The 20335-nt window shown below is 37.8% G+C and overlaps 1 protein-coding gene across 23 annotated transcripts in view; it reads right to left on the bottom strand.

The window, feature by feature from the left end:
* FARS2 (phenylalanyl-tRNA synthetase 2, mitochondrial) overlaps positions 1-20335 on the bottom strand; it is a 521650-nt gene that overhangs the window by 366487 nt on the left and 134828 nt on the right. For 22 of the 23 annotated variants that reach the window (XR_007059197.1, XR_007059196.1, XR_926027.4 and 19 more), the window contains one exon: positions 396-555. Coding sequence is in view for 18 of the 23 variants with exons in the window: in XM_047418086.1 (XP_047274042.1) it covers positions 396-555 (160 nt within the window). In the remaining 5 variants the exon portion in view is untranslated. Of the gene's footprint in view, positions 1-395; positions 556-8208; positions 8465-20335 lie in introns of all 23 variants that reach the window. The other variant, NM_001375260.1, reaches the window with a different exon arrangement.

Genomic DNA, 20335 nt, shown 5'->3' with positions numbered 1-20335 from the left:
GGCCTGGCGCGGTGGCTCATGCCTGTAATCCCAACACTTTGGGAGGCCGAGGTGGGCGGATCACGAGGCCAGGGGTTTGAGAATAGCTTGGCCAACATGGTAAAACCCTGTCTCTACTAAAAATATAAAAATTAGCCAAGTGTGGTGATGGGCGCCTATAATCCCAGCTACTCAGAGGCTGAGGCAGGAGAATTCCTTGAACCCGGGAGGTGGAGGTTGCAGTGAGCCGAGATCGCACCACTATACTCCAGCCTGGGTGACAGAGCAAGACTCCGTCTCGGGGAAAAAAAAAAAGAATTTCAAAATATGAAAAAAAAAAAAAAAACCCAAATCCAAAACACTTCTGTCCCAAGTATTTCAGATAAGAGATCGTCAACCTGTGTTTGAGCACTTACCATCTCCAAAAAGATGTGCCATGAGCCTGGTAAGCGTTTGCTTAAGATCAAACTCTACAAGCTTCACGGCCTCCATGGTGTGTGTCTCTTGTTTATGCGCAGAGCGAGAACTTTGTTCAAAGAGCTGCAGGCTTTCTCCATCCTTTATACCAGCAAATAACTGTAAACCAACAGGAAAGTATAAATAAAGAAAATATCCTGGCCCATCTATATCAGATAACTTTAAAATTCTGCTAAGAATCTTTTGACTCTAAAAAGTTATAATGTGGGAATAAGACTCATTATGTCCTGTCAATAAACGTAATGAAATTAACATTCACTTAGTACAACTCTGAAGAAAACACTACGCTACATGGTATGGGGGGTTTTTAGAGAATTAAGACACTCTTCTGATCTTTGCTAATCTGTTTTTGATTTGCATGAACTTATAGTCAGTTCCCAACAAGAGACATTATCCTCAATTCTAGTGGAAATACTAGTGAATCGCTTTCATATTCTAAAATTACATCCCTGACCATCCCACAGTGTCGAGGAATTAAATCCTGTAAGGTCCATGAAGGTAGGAAGCAAGCTGGAATTTGCTAGTCCTGTATCTCCAAGGCTCAAGGCAGAGCCTCAAACATGTTTCTGCCGCTTACTATCTGTGTAAACTTAGGCAAGTGATACAGTAGCTAAGCCTCAGGGAATCATCTATAAAGTGGGAATAATAATAGTAAATTAGTAGATTTTATTACAAACAAAATAATATATAAAAAATACAGAGTATCTGGCACATTCCAATGGCTAAATAAGTTTTCCTCATTATTGTCTTCATGATTATTAACCACAGCTATCATTAGTCATAAGCTGCTTTACCACTGAAATAAAGTAACTTTCTGGTCAGTGACACAGCAGGTCTTTACTTGGTAGAAGATTGGCTCAAAAGGGATAACTGAGCAAATGAATGTATCATTCTTCCCACCCAAAGTCCCATAATCAAACATAAAAAATGTTTTAATAAAAGAATGAGTCAGCTGCCATTTCTAGTAATGTTGGTTTTGATAATTAGAACCAAACTTCCTGATAAATGCTACTGAAAAAAATACAGAAATTCTTAACAGCATTGAAGAAGTAAAACCGAGATAGAGAGGAGTGACTGAACTCTACAGGAAGCATGAAGCCAGGGGTAAAAAATTAAAAAATAAAAATAAAAAATAAAGTAAGCACAAAGCCAGAGAGAAGCATTGAGAGTATCTGCCTATCTAACCTATCAACTGAAAACCTGAACATGGGTTGTAACAGCTTACCATGGAAGTGAGACAAAAGGGAAAGCTTTGCTGTGGAACCAAGCTGGGGTGTTTGAGTCCCTAAAAGACTCATCCCCCTGATGAGGATGAGCACAAAAGTAAACCAGTCCTTGTGTAGACTTGCAGTCAGGTATCACATTTTCTGAACAATAGAGAGAGCTTCAGGCTACGAAGATGATCTAAGGCAATCCCAGACATACTTCCTCTAACTGGCCAGCAAAATGAGACAAAACCGTTTTCAGAGAAATATTCTAATATCCTAGGCCTCAAATTATTCTTATGAGGACTAAAGACAATGACGGCTGTCAATGCTTCCTCTAAAAATAATTTAGAGCAACAAGAACAAATAAAACTATTGAACACAATGCCTTTGGCAGGCAGGCAGGCAGGCAGGAAGGAATGCCAGTCAAAACCTAGGGACAGAACTGTTATACTCCTACCCCACTGATAAGGCTTTGAAGTAAGCAAGAGCAAGCTGGAAAAAATAAGAGAAAGAGAGGAGAATGAGTGAGGTGCTAAGGTTGACCTTAGAAACCCAGAAAGTGTAAGTTACACTAAGTGTGAAAAGCCTTTAAAAAGTGTCCTAGTAGGCCTGAGCAGGGACCACAGAAAAGTGGTGTAAAAGCATGCCCAATTTGAAGTGAGAGGATCCCAAAACCATAGTTACAATAAAAGAAAAAGGAGTTAATACAAAGCGAAAGACAACCTTTTCAATTGAGTAGGAAGAGAAAAAAGATGCAAATGAGAAAATTCAAGGTTGTGAAAGATAAAGCACAGCTAAAAAATTAGAGGATTTACAAAACCATTCTCTAACCCACACCAAAAATAAATAAATAAACCACTAAAGTGTGCATTGCTACACTAACAGAAGAGGGCACCAGAGACTAAGGAAGTCTTTTACACAACCAAAAAGGAACGACAAATAAATTCAATAAAAATATAGAAAATTATTACTCAAAAATCAGAAAGTCAATTCAAAAGAGCTCAACTAATGAAAATCCAACTTTTCTCCCACCCACCCCCCAAAACTAAGGAGCACTAAAAAGAAACACAAACTAATACTTAAAAACTAAGTTACATATGCTCAATCAAGCATTTAAGGATATAAATTGCTTTAGTCAGAAACTCAAAAATTAAGAACAAAAATAGAGAAAAAATGAAAAGAGAATTGATTTAACTCAGAAAAAAAAAAGAAATAAAATCATCTCAGAAACAAAATCTAAATTCCAAAGCATGCAAGGGACAATGGAATCAATCAAGATTTAATGAGGGGGCATTGAAGAAAAGGAGAAAAACAACCAGAAGGAGGATGGTAAAATAAAGAAAGAAGAATCAGAAAGAAAGTGGTAGAAATGGAACACAGGCAAAGAAGGAATTACATTTATATAATTGGAGTCCGTTAAAGAGGGAAAAAAAAACAATGGAGCAGAACTAATACCAGATAAAATGGGTACCTGTGAAAAAGAACCTGGAAAAATCAAATATAGGACATATTCTTATAAAACAGATTTCATAAATAATGGGGAAAATCGTCAAGGCCTCTAGGCAAAAAGATCAACTAATGTAGAGGAGTAAAGCAATCAGAGTGGCATCAGATTCTTCAAAAACAACACGGAAACAAGACAACAATGAAGCCACATTTTCAAACAACTCAGTTTTTAAAAATGTGGGTCAAGAAGTTTATATCCATCAATGCTGTCCTTAAAGCACCAAGTCTACAGAAAAAACGTGAAACACACAAGAGCATAGGAATGTCACATTAATGAGCTCTTTCTGAAGAATTTACCAAAGCATGAGCCTTGTTCAAGTAATAAATAACTAGGAAAATTTCAGCACAAAACAAATGGAGAACATGTTAATACATAAAAATTACAGATTTCAGACTAAAAGCTGGGGATTACATTGAAAGACTAATATCCAATTGTTATATGTTCTGACAAAGTAGAAATAACGTAACTAAACAATGGAAGAAAGCAGCAAAGAGGAAAGTAGAATATACTGATTATTGCATAGGCAATAGTTAAAGAATACTTTTACTAAGAACAAAGTTAAAAATGAGGGATAAGGGACTTTAAAAGTTTTAAGTATAAAAGCAACCATTAAAACAAAAATATAACCTTTCTAAAGAGCAACCAAAATTTCAATTCAAAAGCATAATAAAACATATATTGTAGAGAAATAAAATGTAACATGTTATGACATATATAACACCACAATATATTATGATAAAGTTCAGATCGAATATATCAATAACTCAATAAATGTGAAAGTAATATCAATAAATATGAACAGGCTTAATTCACCTCTTAAAAAAATAAATCTGGCCACAAAGCATGACTCAACTATACAAAAGATACACCTAAAACAATGTTAAAAACAAATGGATGGACAGAATATAACAGGCAAATGGATACAATAAAAAAGCAAGCATAGCATTCTTAAAATCAGAAAAAGTAGAATTCAAGCAAAAAAACACCGAGCAAGACAAAGAAGATCTTGTATTAATGCTAAAAGTTTCAAATCACAGTGAAGGTATAACACTTATGAATATCTATATATCAATAAGACAATTATTACCTCTGTGTAGAAAGAACCATAGGGGACGCAAAAGACACACATAGAAACACATTAATATTAATGATAATAGGAAACTTTAATACATCATTCTTAGTATAAGATCAAATGTGCAAAATTAATAAGATAAAAGACCTAAAAACATAATTAGGAAATGAAATCATGTGTGTATACATAAATATGTATACGTATATTTTACACACACACACACACATACACACATATTAAACTTACTCCCTTCATAATGAAAAATACATTTTATTTTCAAGGGCCCAGAGAATATTAACAAAAATTGATCACATAGTAAGTCACAAAGAAATAAGTATATTCCATAAAGAAGAAATAATAAACTATACTCTCTGATTAAAATACAATAAAACTAAAAATCATTCCCATTAACAACATACAAACACACACACACATAAAGGTCTTTCCACCTGAAAACTGACAAAAAAAGAAGGGGAACAAAAGTCAGGAAACATACACCACAAAGAGGTAATACCACTAACGTAAAGAAACTTTTAAAAGTTGACAAAGGGCCAAAAACTCCATAGAAAAAGAACAGACAATTCATCAAAAAAAAGATATGAAAATGACCCCTGAACACATGAAAAGGAATTCAAACTTAAAGAGCAAATTAAGCAAATTAAAATAACACTGACATAATACTTCTATCACAATGGCAAAAAGTTAAAAGTCAGACAACATATTCTTTTGAATACGCTGAGGCTTTGGAAAATAAGTACAGTCATACTTTGCTGGTGAAAATGGAAACTGGTAGAACCCTTTTGGAGATGAATTTGACAACACCCAACAAAACTACATATTTGTTGATCTCTTGACCCAGTCCTTCCATTTCTAACTACTTACCCTGAAAATATACTTCCAACATTAATACACATGCACAAAATTTTCATTGTAGTATTGTTTGTAACTGCACCATATTTTTTTAAAAAGTCTCACATTGGAAAGATGTTAAATAAACTATGGTCTACCTATACAATAGAGTACTTTTGCAGGTGTAATAAAGAACGAGGAAGATCTCTCTGGACTGATATGGAATGATTTTCAAGACATCCTGATAAATAAAAAAGGCAAAGTGCAAGAGGGCATATATTACTTGCTACCTTTCATGTAAGAAATAATAAAATACACATGAATCATCTCATTTGTGAAAAAAAGGAAGGATAGGCTAGAAATAACAAAAATAAATCACCTACACAGAGGTGGTGGAAACAGGATGGAAAAAATGGTTGAATGGGAATAGAGTATAATGAATGGCAGAGTGGGGGTCATGACCTCTAAGTAAACCTTGTTGTATAGTTCTGAGTTTTAGAAGGACGTTAATACTTTATCTACGCAAAACATTAAAAATAAAATCCTGACACCTGCAATCCCAGCACTTTGGGAGGCCAAGGCAGGAGGATCACTTGAGGTCAGGAGTTCAAGACCAGCCTGGCCAACATGGTGAAACACCATCTCTACCAAAAAATACAAAAATTAGCCAGGCGTGGTGGCACACGTCTGTGATCCCAGCTACTTGGGAGGCTGAGACAAGAGAATCACTTGAACCCGGGAGGCAGGAATTGCAGTGCGCCTACATCATGCCACTGTACTCTAGCCTGGGCAACAAAAGGAGACTCCGTCTCGATGATGATGATGATGATAATAATAATAATAATAATAATAATAATAATAATAATAATAATAATAAAATAATATAAAATCTACCCAGAGGTGGGAAGAACACAAATGGAATACAAACAGTAATGATGGACAGAAGTTTATTCTAAATAAATGACAGCCACTTAAAGAGAGTGGAGAAGAAAAGAATTAACCAAAATAACTTTCAAAAACAGTATTTTAACTAAATAAGATGAAAAACAAAATAAACATAGCAAATATTGTACACTAGTTAGCAAATTTTTTCCACAGAGGTATGTGTTAACAATTATGAAACTACCTTTATGTTCATTCCAGGACTGAACAAGAAAATAAATATGTCATGAGTAAGAAGAACCAGGTTTCTCACTGTCACTATCAAAGGCAATGGGGAGGGCTAGAATGAGCCATGTGGTGTTGGCTTAGATTGGAGGTACTCATATGAATTCATATTTTGTAACATATATGCAGATACATCAATACGGAAATAGAAGTAGGTATATGTATTTCCTAGCTCTGTCACTAGAGGGGGCCTACAAGTAATGATATCCCTAGGGCAATAAGTATACTCAGGTCTAGGCTTCTAAATACCATTCTTTAATAAAAAAGGAACAGAGTTTCTTAAAGAAATGACTGATTCCAGGGCTGGGGTGGAGAAAGTAAAAGATGAATCTGGGATATCTCATGGGGACAAAAAATGATAACATGTCAGAGGACACAGAAAACTACTTAAGGGGCTCCCAAAGACCAAACCTGGGTAAATTTCAGCAATAAAATAAATCATTTTAGTAATAGGTTATAACCCATACAATAACCAAATATTCATGAAGCCATACTGATATAAATAATTAAATAAATATATGGGAGAGAAGGTAAAGGTCTTCCTTACAGTAAAATTCTAATTAATACCTTTAGAATAAATTAGAAAGAAAATAACCATTTGACAAACACCACAATAATTTCTGGCAAAAATTATCAAGGGAATCCAAAGTTAATAGGGCAAAATATTATGAGAACTATTTACACAGTCTCAAAGTATCTTCCTGCAAACACTATTAACTACAAAGGGGAAAATAATAATGGCGGAGAATCCTAATGGATGCCACATTTACCGAGTGATCAGAGTTAACATATCACCACCACGTTCTTCATGATAGAACTCACTAAGGGCACAACAAAATCTCCATGGCATTTTTGTCAAAAATGTAGAATATGAATTTCACCATGAGAAAATACAAAATCATGTCAAGTTGAGAAACATGACACAAAATATATGGCCAGTACCTTTCAAACATATCAAAGTCATGATAAAGAAAGACTGAGTAACAATATATGGCCAGTACCTTTCAAATACATCAAAGTCATAATAAACAAAGGAAGACTGAGTAACTATCCCAATTTAATAAAGGAGATGGACACGTGAAAAATATAACATGTAATCCTAGATTGAATTCTAGTCCAGAAAAAGGACATGTTTTTAAATTCAAGCAAACACATTTTTCAATTTTACATGTTCTATTTAGTTCTTTCTCAATTCGGCATAGTCTCTTTTTTTAAATAAAGACTTTTTTAAGCATCGTTTTAGGTTCACAGCAAAACTGAGAGGAAGATACAGAGATATCCCATATAATTCCTCCTCCACACATGCACAGCCTCCTCCACTATCAGCATCCTCCACCAGAGTGGTACACTTGTTACACTAGATGGACTTACACTGACACATTATAATCACCCAAAGTCCTTAGTTTACCTTAGGGCTCACTCTTGGAGTTGTACATTCTATGGGTTTAAACAAATGTCGAACATACATCCACCATTATAGTATCACACAGTGTTTTCAGTGCCCTAAAAATCTTCTACGCTCAGCCAATTCATCACTGTCTCCGCACTGGCCCCTGATCATCACTGCTCTTTTCACTGTTTCCCTAGCTTTGTGTTTTCCAGAATATCATATAGAGGGAAACATAGAGTATGGAGCCTTTTCAGCTTGTCTTCCTTCATGAGTAATATGCATGTACATTTCCCCCATGTCTTCTCATTGATTAATAACTCATGTATGATCTTTTGTTAAAAACCATTTTTATTACTTATACGTATTTGAGATTGTATTTTCTACTTCTTTAAAGATTTCATACAGTTATTTTATACTTTGCGCCAAGGAATTCAAATAGCTGAAGCAACTGGGTGTGATTTCTGCTGATTTTCACACAGGATGGTTTGTGTGTGGTGATCTTAGGCTGGATGATATCAAATCAGGGGGAAACGTGAGGGCCTAGGTAGGGGACACTTGCCTTCAAAGACTGTGTGTAACCAGGGCAGCAACAGCCCTGGAACCAATTTACCGCTCTTGAAGAGGTGAAGGTGAGGGGCCCAGGTTTGACTTCCCCATCTTGCCACTACTACCAAGAGGCCTGATCGCTCAGCTGCCCTGCTGCTGACAGCAGCTGTAGCACCTCCACACGCTTCATGTCAGCTCACTGCTCCTGGCGCTCAGTTCCTTCCATTTTCTCCCCTCTCCCTTGGGAAGTTCTGTCACTTTCGGTGAGCCTAAAAATTGTAACAAAATTATTTTATGTGGAGTCTAGTTGGGGTTTTTTTAGCCAGCATATCTAGTCTGTGAAAGAAGTGGAAGTTTCCGGAACTTGATTTCATAAACTGCTTTCAGAATCAAATTATAAATCTCCCAGGGGGTGAAAAATCCTCATACTTTTATACCTTGTTCTTAATCAAAACAGTATTATTACTCCGCTTGACAACCCCAAATTCCAGCCTTGTAGCCAAATGATTTTTTACAAATGATTATGCAAAAAACAAATCTCTGAAGGGATGAAGGCTGAGGACCAATGACAATATATAACGGTGAAATTAAACACAACTCTAACAATATTTGAGCAACTTTAGCATCACTGGAATTTATTTCCCCTGAGGAAATTAACTGAAAGATAAAAATAGCCTTTAATTACTAGAATCTATTTTTAAAAATCTCTCAGTACCTTTTAAACATAATATACATGCAACATGGAGCTCTTGGGAAGCAGTTTATATGAATTCCAGGTTTCATGAACATTATTCTTTAAGAACAATGAATTTAGTAAATACAACAGATTAAATTAGCAAGCAATAACAATTTTCTTTAAAGAATAGTTATATATGAAATAGAGTTATCCTAATAGAATACTAGAATGTCAGTGGGCTATGACATTAACATTAAAATTCAAGATTTAAAACAAAACCATAACATTAAAAACATTTATCACCACTAGGTGGTCAGATTGCCCATAATTTTTTTCTTCTCAGTGCTTTTAGATATTTTATACATTTCCTCAATAAGCAAGGTTACATTTGAAGTTGCAGAGAAAACAACAAATGTTACTACAAGGATAAAAAGAGGAATAGGAAAGGATTCAAACATCAGTCTCTCCTAATGCTAGAAATACAGTGGCCAACCCCAAAATTATTATAAGCACACAGTGTTTTGATATTCCTACAAATGAAGATAAAGCTGTTTTTTCCAAAGATGGAAACTACTCCCAGAACACGTTAATTAGTGGAGAATAAGGAGAGGAGAACTAATAAGATGAAATGGAGGGGAATATTTCACTAGTAATGGTACAGAGAAAAATGAGGTGTTCTTGGTCAAAATGTGGCTCCAGGTAGAGAGTGTCATCCCTACTAAACAAAAATATAAATAACTGATCAGGGCCAGAAAGACCCCAGGTTCCAAAGAATATCTTTTATAGTCCAGGAAAAGTGAAAATTCTGTTACCTGATCTAGTTTGGTAATAAAAGGAAGTATTTACTTGCAATTATATATTAAAAACCAATCAGTGGCCAGGCACAGTGGCTCACACCTGTAGTCCCAGCACTTTCAGAGGCCGAGGCAGGTGGATTCCTTGAGGTCAGGAGCTCAAGACCAGCCTGGCCAACATGGTGAGACTCTGTCTCTACTAAAAATACAAAAATTAGCCCAGTGTGGTGGTGCATGCCTGTAATCCCAGCTACTCAGAAGGCTGAGGCAGGAGAATCGCTTGAACCTATGAGGCAGAGGTTGAAGCGAGCCAAGATCACACCATTGCACTCCAGCCTGGGTGACAGAGCGAGACTCTGTCTCAAAACCAATCAGCACAATGTTGACGGTCATTCAGCTAGAAAAGAGAACTAGAGCAGGGCCTTGCAGAATAAGCCTGGCTAAACTAAGAAACGGCAAAAAAAAGAGAGAGGCCTACAAGGTGACAGTCCTACTCTCCTACAAAAGACGCAGATCATCCTTTTTTAGACAATGGAATATGGTTTCTGTACCACTTCGAATGGCAAAATGAGTGTGACGTCAAAAGTTAACGAGCATCAAGAAAAAAAATCTTTTTATATTGCAGTTATTTAAGGACACCAAATGCTTTTTTTTTAAAAAAAAACACTGTCCCTTACTAACAACACAGATGTTTCAAAGTGACACTTGAAAGAGAAAACAAACAGCCCCTACTCCATGTCACTTACAGAAGGTACAAGAAAAACAGCAGAGTTTCCATAAGATATCACCCAGTTCGACATTTTCTAATTAGGTACTTAGATTATAAAACCTGAGTAATAAAACCTTCATAGTTTTACTGTAATTTTTATATGTACATATATGTACACACACAAGCATGTGTCACTTAAGGAAGAGGATACACTCTGAAAAATGCTTCATTACGCAATTTTGTCATTGTGCGAACACCATGGAGTGTAGTCACGCAAACCTAGATGGTATAGCCCACTATGCACACCTAGGCTATGAAGTATAGCCTATTGTGCCTAGTCTACAAATCTATAACAGCATGTTACCATACTGAATACTGTAGGCAACTGTAACACAAATCACTAGGTGATAGGAATTTTTCAGCTGCATTATAATCTTGTGGGACCATTGTCATATATGAGGTCTGCCATTAACTGAAATGTTTTCTGCTCGTGCTCACCTCAGCAGCATATATACTAAAACTGAAATGTTTTGCGGTGCAGGACTGTGTGCGTGTATGTACATATACACACATACATTTATTTCAGCTTTATGCTCCTCCTCATTCTGAAGCTTAAATAGTCCCCTCTTTGACAGTAATGTCATTATGTAGTTACCAGAGGAAAATAAACTCTTCTTTCAAATTTCTACTCAAGCCAAGGAGAAATACTTGATCATTTAGGAAGTCAGAGCCTTAAGCTTCGGTCCAATGTGGCCATGACCATTCCTGGCAATAAAAACCAAAGCCAACACATTTTCAGTCTAAATGCATAGCAGGATGCTCGAGATGTCTCACTCACTCTGCCCCTTCCATCCACATACTAAACAAACATCACAGAGGAGATGACCAATGAGCATCTCAGCAGTTCTCCATCCTCACGCAAGGAGGACAGCTCTAATACCCACGGTCAAAGAGGAAAAGGGTGCCTTTCTCCAAACAACACGTTTGCGTGATAATACTAATTATACCTCACACTGGTAAACTGTATTATAATTTTAAAAGTACTTGTCATCTTCTTGCCTTTTTTTTAGGTGGAGTCTCGGTCTGTCACCAGGCTGGAGTGCAATGGCAAGATCTCAGCTCACTGCAACCTCCGCCTCCGGGTTCAAGTGATTCTCCTGCCTCAGCCTCCCAAGTAGCTGGGACTACAGGCACGCACCACCATGCCCAGCTAATTTTTTTTGTATTTTTAGTAGAGACGGGGTTTCACCATGTTGGCCAGGATGGTCTCGATCTCTTGACCTCGCGATCCGCCCACCTCAGCCTCCCAAAGAGCTGGGATTACAGGCGTTAGCCACCATGCCCGGCCAAAGCACTTGTCATCTTCTACATGAGCCACTGCATCGTCACTCCCAGACCCTCCACTGCTGCCACTGACACCATAACCACCACTCCTTTACACACATGGAATCCAAATCTGTGGGAGTATCTTTTCCAGGATTCCATGGTTAGCCTATAATAATCCTGAGAGTCTACCTGTGCATTACAGGATTCAATTATTTATTGCGACCAAGCTAGTTTCAATAGATCAATCAGAAATACTAGTATATCCATGTAGGTACATATGAAAAATATTAGGGACATATTAGGGAATGGTTGAAGCAATAAATCAAAAACCCACTGATAATTCCCAAAATGCAGCACACATTCCATTGTGAAAACTTATTTTACATATATTTTAATAAATTTTAAAAATATTTTCAGATATTTAAAATCAATATATTTTATGTGTATATATATATACACACACACATATATGTATATATACATATATATAATATATACACACATATATGTATATATACATATATATAATATATACACACACATATAATATATACACACATATATGTATATATACATATATAATATATACACATACATATATGTATATATACACACATATATATACATGTGTGTGTGTGTGTGTGTGTGTGTGTGTGTGTGTATATATATATATTTTAGAGCAAGTGTTTTGCTATGTTGCTCAAGCTGGTCTTAAAGCTTAAGCTTCAGTCCAATGTGGTCATTCTGGTCATCCTAGGCTCAAGCAATCCTCCCACTTAAGCCTCCTGAGTAGCTGAGAGAGCAGGTGGGCTAAGTACTTCATTTTAATAACTACATAATACTTTCAATGTGTATAGAAAAATATATAACTCTCCTATCAAACCCATGATTTCACAGGTACTATAGCTTAGAATAGCGCTAAGCAAAAGAGGTCAGTCACTTTAAGGCTATTTTTAGAAAATTATTAAGATCTAATCATACATGCACTATATGGGTATGACCAAAATATAACTGTAAAACACAGTAAAGTTTTCAAAACCCTGAAATAAGGAAAAGCAGCAGTTCATAAGGCCATGTGCACAACACAACACAGAAGAACAAGACTAATCAAAGGCAGAGATTATTTCTAATGGAAATATAACACTGGAGCTGGAAGAGACTGTAGTCCATTAACCAATGCCATATAAGGATAGGAAACTCAGAAAGGTAAAGACCCAGAGAGGGTAAGATCACTCAGCCAATTAGACATCAGTCCAGGACCAATCTCACCCTTGATTCCAGGGACCTCTAAGTATCTGCCTCTCACTTACCTTTATGTTTGGGAGATACCACAGTATTGAAATTAAATTAATTTCCATTAATCGCACCCAACAGTTTGTATAATTTATTTTCCACTAGGACTGCTTCTATTTCTCTGACATTTTCCTAACTGTCCTTGTGCAAATCCAAATGACCCAGAATACAAATTCAACCCCAACTACAACTGCTTACAAAAGCCACAGAAAGTAGTTCAGAACTACTGAGGAATTACTGAGCAAGGAATTACTTCTAATCAGATTTAAGAATAAAAGTAGATTGCAAAAGCCAATTAAATTTAAAATTTAGAAAGCCAACAAGATTTTCCCAAAAGGTCTAGATTTTAAACACACATTTAAAGGGCACAGAAAAAAGAAAACGGACAGAAGAAGAATTTGCTTCTTTGCAAAATCCTACAAGTGGCAAAGTGAAAATGAGGCTTGGATGATAGTAGATTTTCAAGGAGATATTGAGGACTGGTCTGTGGCTCCCAAAGTAGTCATTTTTATACCAGCCATTAAAAAAAAAATAACTATTGACCACCAGTTTCATCTATACAATCTGCCTTACAAATTAATGCTAAACACTTATCTATCCTGACTCTGAGTTCCTGTGACTGATAACATGATCCTATAACACACTTCACTGCCACTTGCAGTACTAACGGTTAATAGTTACACACCGTTTAGTACCTTTGCTACCTTGCTGAGTGCTTATCTTACATACTATATGGTTTTCTTTAATCTTCACAATCCTTATTATTTCCCCATTTCTCAACTAAGAACCCTGAGGCTTAGTGAGGTTCAATAACATGTACCATGACATAGTAAATGGTGGAGCCTGAATTCAACCCAAAATCTCCAAGTCATGACCCCATCTTCCAGGCTCTGTGGTTATTTCCGTGATGGAATATATACTATCACTCTCTTCAGCTTCAGTATTAAAAGGGGCAATAGGGTCAGATGAATAGGATTTAGAACTGGACATAAAACACTCATGAACAGAGCTGAGCTGCAATAGCTCCACACACTTCTACTGCTTTAGGCACCCTGAATAAAATAATGACGGTTTACCCTAGTTATATCATTCCTATTGAACAAGGACTAATACATTTCTCAAAAAGTGATAAATTCAGGTCTGCCTTTAAAATGCACTTAGCATATGTGCAATTGCATCAATGTGAACAGTTTCTTGGGTTATTCCAGGAGGACTGCTTTGAAAAACATGTAAGCTATGATCATGTTCCACATTATTCATAAGAAGGCACTGTGTGGTTAGAGGCCATGTGAACTCCCAAAGGCAACATGGAGTACGGGAAAGGGGCCATACCTGGGGCAGCTATTAGGACACCCGGGCTTGACACTGGTTATCTCAGCCCCTTTCCTCTTAAACTAAGGGAATAGAAGAGAACCAAAGAAAAACAGCAGAAGAAATGTAGGCATAATATGTTTGAGAACTGACCAAATAAATGTTCCTTATATACACTGTAAGGGAAAGAAATATTGCTCAAACCCAGGAGCTGTTCACAAGAAAGCCTTCACACAGAAAAGACACTGGTTTGTGATACTGTTGTTCGGTTTATAAAATTCTGAAAGATGATGTGTCATAGAAAACAATCAAAATAATCCTTGAAGTAACAGTAGAACTTGAGCAGTCCCTGTGGTTACCTGGGGACTCATAAAAGGCAGGATCCATCAAGGGTGCTGAGTAAGGATATTTTTAGCATGTGCGATGCAAAAGAATACATACTCATTGCTTTCTAACTTAATCCTAACGCTGATGAAATAATTATACCTACTGTTCCTGCCTGAGGTGTCTGGGGCCAAGCATGGGCTTGGAAACTGGCCTTACCTCACAGGGAAAGAAAGCAATAGTACTCACTTTCTGAATAACCTAAACAAGCAAGGTAAGTACTGGAACAAAAAAACTGTAGTAGAGGCTGGGTGCAGTGGCTCATGCCTGTAATCCCAGCACTTTGGGAGGCCGACATGGGTGGATCACTTGAGGCCAGGAGTTCAAGACCAGCCTGGCCAACATGGTGAAACCCCATCTCCACTAAAAATATAAAATTAGCCTGGCGTGGTGGCGCGTGCCTGTAATCCTAGCTACTCGGAGGGCTGAGGCAAGAGGATTGCTTGAACCCAGGAGGCAGAGGTTGCGGTGAGCTGAGATCATGCTACTGCATTCCAGCTTGGGTGACAGAGAGACACCCTCTCTCAGGAAAAAAACAAACAAACAAAAACAACAATAACAACAACAACGACAAAAACAAAAAAACTGTAGTAGGAGCAGAATTCAGAAAGCTTTGTTTCAGAGAGGAAAATCAGAAACAGATGTAACATTTTCAAACTACAGGCATTTTTCCATTGTAACATTAAGACAAATATAATAATGTCACTTCAACTGCATTTGAAATTTTCAAGCAGGTGGTAAGTCAGTTAGCCACTACCGTATCACCAATTTCACTAATTCTAGCTTCATAAGTCAATCTTTGCCTGAGGTAATAGACCAAAAAGGTAAAGTCTGATGGGATACACCACAGGACATTCTTGCTCTGCACAATACCAAACGCAAGTACAAGTGACTTGAGCAGTGAAGAGATGACCCAAGAGAATGCTAATAGAAAAATCTTGCTAGGTAATGCAGCCAAACAAAATCGTTTCAGTAGACAGATTGAGTACATGAAAGAAAGGAGGTCATAACTAAGAGTCCAGGCTGTGCCAACCAGCATCTTAATAAAGAGGAGAGAGAGAGAGACAGGACACAAGAGAGAAGATGGCAAGGGAGGGGAGGAGGAACAGTAGCAGCTTGGAGAACTCAACAATAGTACTCGCCTAACACAGTGGTCAACTGATGTAACATTTTCAAACTACAAGGCATTTTTGCATTGTCCAAGAATGACGCTATGTCCAAAGCCATAAAATATTTCTGCAAGCCGATATTTTTTAACTGTTTCATTTAGCTGTATGATTCTATTAGAAAGGATCTGACAGAAAAGTTTAGCAGCTTAATTAGGAAGGAAAAATCTTACTCTCTGAGTAAAAAGTAAAGAGATTCTTTGACATCTGTGGATGTGAGGGGAGGGCAACAATAAACAGATATGACGGAGAACTGAAAACCCAAAGGGGCCCATGGAATACAAGATACCTGCTAAATAATTCTGTAGGACAAGTATGACAAAAGGGATTTTTTAAAAGGATTTTGAAATATCCTGGCTTTGAGAAGCAGATACCAGAGAGCAAAGTTCCACCTGGAGGAATAGCTCAGGACAACTGCCCACCGACAACAGAAAAAGGCACTTGGAGAAAATACAGATCCATTAAATATTTTTCAGAATGATTCCATATAGGTTACATGATACAAATGCTCTCTTCCTTATGAATTCATCAGCAAATACTAGATCACTCATGAATGATTTTGTAATGGCTGGACTCTTACAGGAACTAAAACAGGGTCTTAATTCTGTGTTTTGCTGAGAGTGAAGTAAAAACAGAGTGCACAAATGAGCACAGACACAGTGTTAGCCAGAAAAGAACAGGCTTTTTTATTCCAAACTCAATAGCTTAAAAATCATGGGCAAATATAAAATCAGTGCCATCTAGAGGCAAAGACATAGAGAACTATTTTATTACTGGCGATGGTACACGATCTTGTCACCAAAAAACATTCTTCATTATTAATCCCCGATGAACCCCATTTTAAAAAAGATTTGTGTCAAATTGCATTTAATAAATAATAATACTTTTTAAATTAAACACACATATAACTCACAGTAGGGTCATATGAACTTGATAAAATCCCAGTTGATATTTACTTTTTCTCTGCAACCATTTCCCCCCTGCCAAGTGTATGATTTTTGAAATAAGAAGACATAGGGTTTAAGATAAGATAATCCCAAAGACACAAGAAAGGGGATGCTTCAAATTATTGGTTCATCTCAGGTTTCTGAAGCATTAGTAGATAAGTGCTTCTCCCACTGTCAAAGATAACTGAAAAGGTCATAGCAAGAGAGTTTAGAAACAAAAGAACAAAAATGAATACAGGTAATAATGTAAAAAAAAAATTGGTTCACCAATTGTGACAAATGTACCATGCTAATATAAGATGATAATAATAGGATAAACTGAATATGGATTATACAGGAACTTTCTGTACTTTCTTTGCAATTTTTCTGTAAACCTAGAACTATTCTGAAATTAAACATTTATTGCAAAATTTAATATAGAGACAATATACTCCTCTGAATGAGTTCAGCATGCTATAGACAGATTGCAGCTCCAGGAACAACACTTCAGTCTCTTATCGTGAGAGAAGACAAGCAACCATGATTTGTAACCAACATGAAAGAATGAGGAAAGAGCTCTAGAAGGATAACATCACGACCTCTGGAGCAGAGACCCCCATCACAGTGTCCTGAACATAGCAGATGCTTCACGCTATTCTTCCTAATTACTTGATCAATGTAGACTGCCTCTATAAGCACATGCCGAGTCAAGAACCAAATTTTGGAGAAGAAAGTATTAGCTGTTCTCTCCAATTAACTTCAGAGACTATGCTAATCATGTATCTCACTTGTTAAAATGTCTATCCCTCCCACGCTACTTTCAACTGGGGAAAAAACTGGCTTTGTCCTCTTCTTTACTGAGAACAGAGAAGCCAACAGAGAAGAAGCTCCCTAATGTCTAAGCCCTGTATTCCCATTCATAAACATCTGTGCCTTTTCTGCAGCCATGCTTCAATCCTTCATTCCTACCTTTGTAACAACAGGAAAAGGGTGCCTTCCCCTGGTCAGGCGGCAGGTGTTACTAATCCATCTCCTCGCGTCTTGGATATACCCTATCCCGTCACTCTGTCTCCTCAAAGATGTCACTTAGAAATCATGCCATCTCTCTTGTACCAGTAATCTCTCCAAAGGCTCTTTCTCCTCTATGAATATATTCCATTCTTTCCTTTAAACAAACGGTCCAACAAACCAACAAAACTCCCTCCAGCCCCAGACCATGCTGCAACTATCCCCTCTCACAAATACAGTTAGGTTGATAGCTCTTTTTTGGTCTTCTTCACGCTTCCCTTCCTTCCACTGTCACTAAATATTTGTACGCCAAGGGACTCGTTTTCAGCCCTCTACAGTCTTTACCCTGCGTACCTTCCCCTAGATGAATGCAGCTAAACTGATAGCTCCAACTATCATCATATGCCCATAGATCACATATCTCCACCTCCACCCCAGGCGACTGTGCCAGGCCCAGATACACAGATGCACCTGCCAAGGGGGCATTTCTACTTGCAAATCCCAAACCTAAACATGTCTCAGACTCAAGTCTCTCTCCTGTCCCTACCCCAAAACACATTTCTCTTCCTGAGACCCCTAACTCTGTGAATGGCACCAAAAAAGCAACCCAGGAGTTAGTTTTAATTGCTTTTCCCTTTCCCTCACTTCCCCATGTAGAGGGATAAAATCCAATTAATTCCACCTCTTTTACATCCTTTCTTATCGATCATCCCTGCCATTTCCTTGGCTTAGCCTGCACTGGTTCTCTCGGACGATTGTAATAATCTCCTAACAACTCTTTCCATCACCAGTCTTGCCTGACCCTGCTCCATTCCACTGGCCACATTGCAGAATTATTTTTCTAAAATGCCAACCTGAACGATTGCCTCACTCTGGCCCCTTAAAATTTAGTAAAGACTCCTCATTCTTTTTAAACTGAAGTTCAAATTATAAAAGTTACATAGCAGGCCCTTCATGAAGCAGTTCGTGCTTCCTTCTCTAACTCCATCACCTGTCACTTTCCAATGTGCCACGCTCCACACTACACATTCCGGGGACTCGTCACCTTCATACATCTTCATTCCTTCAATCTGCTACTCACACCACCTGAAACACAGTGCCCCTTCTTCTCTGCCTGTACAACTATAATGTTTTGTCTGAGATTCTTTGGGACACCTTCTATTATTACCCCCAGGAATAGAGCTCTCCCTCTTCCGTGCCTTGACTGTATCTTCCATTATGCTGACTGTGGGGAGCAGAGTTTATACTTCATCTCTCTCTATATATATAGGAACAACACTTAGTCAATATCTTATTTTACAGCAATCTGGTTTAGGACGAGCTTCCCAAGAATGTGTGGCATCCAAACACAAAGGCAATCTATATCCAACTCGGTTCAACCAAAACCTGTCACTAAGCAGGCGACCCCTGAGCCCCAGGGATAAGCCAGTCATCTGCAGAGTGACAGACACAGGCCGTAACTGTGATGAATACAGCCTCACATACTTGGCAGGTCTACTGCTTATTAATCCTTGGTTCACATACAGAGAAATAAGAATCACTGCTAAACATAAGCACACTCACATTTCTTACCATAGAAACACCCAGCTGGGCGTGGTGGCTCACACCTGTAATCCCAGCACTTTAGGAGGCCAAGGCGGACAGACCACGAGGTCAAGAGACCAAGACCATCCTGGCCAACATGGTGAAACCCCGTCTCTACTAAAAATACAAAAAAAAATTAGCTGGGCATGGTAGTGCATGCCTGTAGTCCCAGCTCCTTGGGAGGCTGAGGCAGAAGAATCGCTTGAACCTGGGAGGTGGAGGTTGCAGTGAGCCGAGGTCATGCCACTGCATTCCAGCCTGGTGACAGAGCAAGACCCCGTCTCAAAAAAAAAAAAAGAAAAGAAAAAAAGAAAAGAAACTCCCAAGCCTTCATCTCCCCCAAATGCAGCAAGCAAATTCAATTACATTATTCAAATCCAACTAAAGCATTTCAGCAAATATTAAGTATTCAAATCACTTTGGAGGAAGGATTGGGATGCCTTAGTAAGATGAATAGACAGATATATTAAAGGGATAGCAAACTCATCCAAGTGGATTTCAGCTGCTAATTTCTACAGTTTTCAATTTCTTTAACCAACTGGGCCCTAAGTAGGATCTTCTACTGCTCATCATTCGGGAAGACTTGTGTTTCAAGGGCCCAGTTAAATACAACTCTGTCCTAAGGTCTCTATGGGAAGTCCCTCCCTGTTTTAACTAATTGATATTGAACCAGCTTTGCCATTGCCTGGATTTTCTGTAATGCACCACATGCCAATTAATCAAGTTACAGAGATGAGCACAGGGGAAGAAATGCACTAAAGCCCTATACTGCAAAAAGCAGACTTTATTTTCTCCCTGCTGCTTGTCTCATTTCCTCTCCTTGCAATGAGACTTTGTGCCAGTGGATTAATGGGAAGAGATGTGAAACAGTCAGTATTCTGTGGTGAAAGATGCTACAAAAATACATTGGTGGCTGAGAAACAACTTCTGCCAGGCAGCTGAACAAAATACTGGCTGTCAGGG

This window comes from Homo sapiens, chromosome 6, assembly GCF_000001405.40.
Source record: "Homo sapiens chromosome 6, GRCh38.p14 Primary Assembly".
Lineage (NCBI taxonomy): Eukaryota > Metazoa > Chordata > Mammalia > Primates > Hominidae > Homo > Homo sapiens.
The sequence above is the reverse complement of the archived record's forward strand: the minus strand, read 5'-3'. Positions and strand labels throughout refer to the sequence as shown.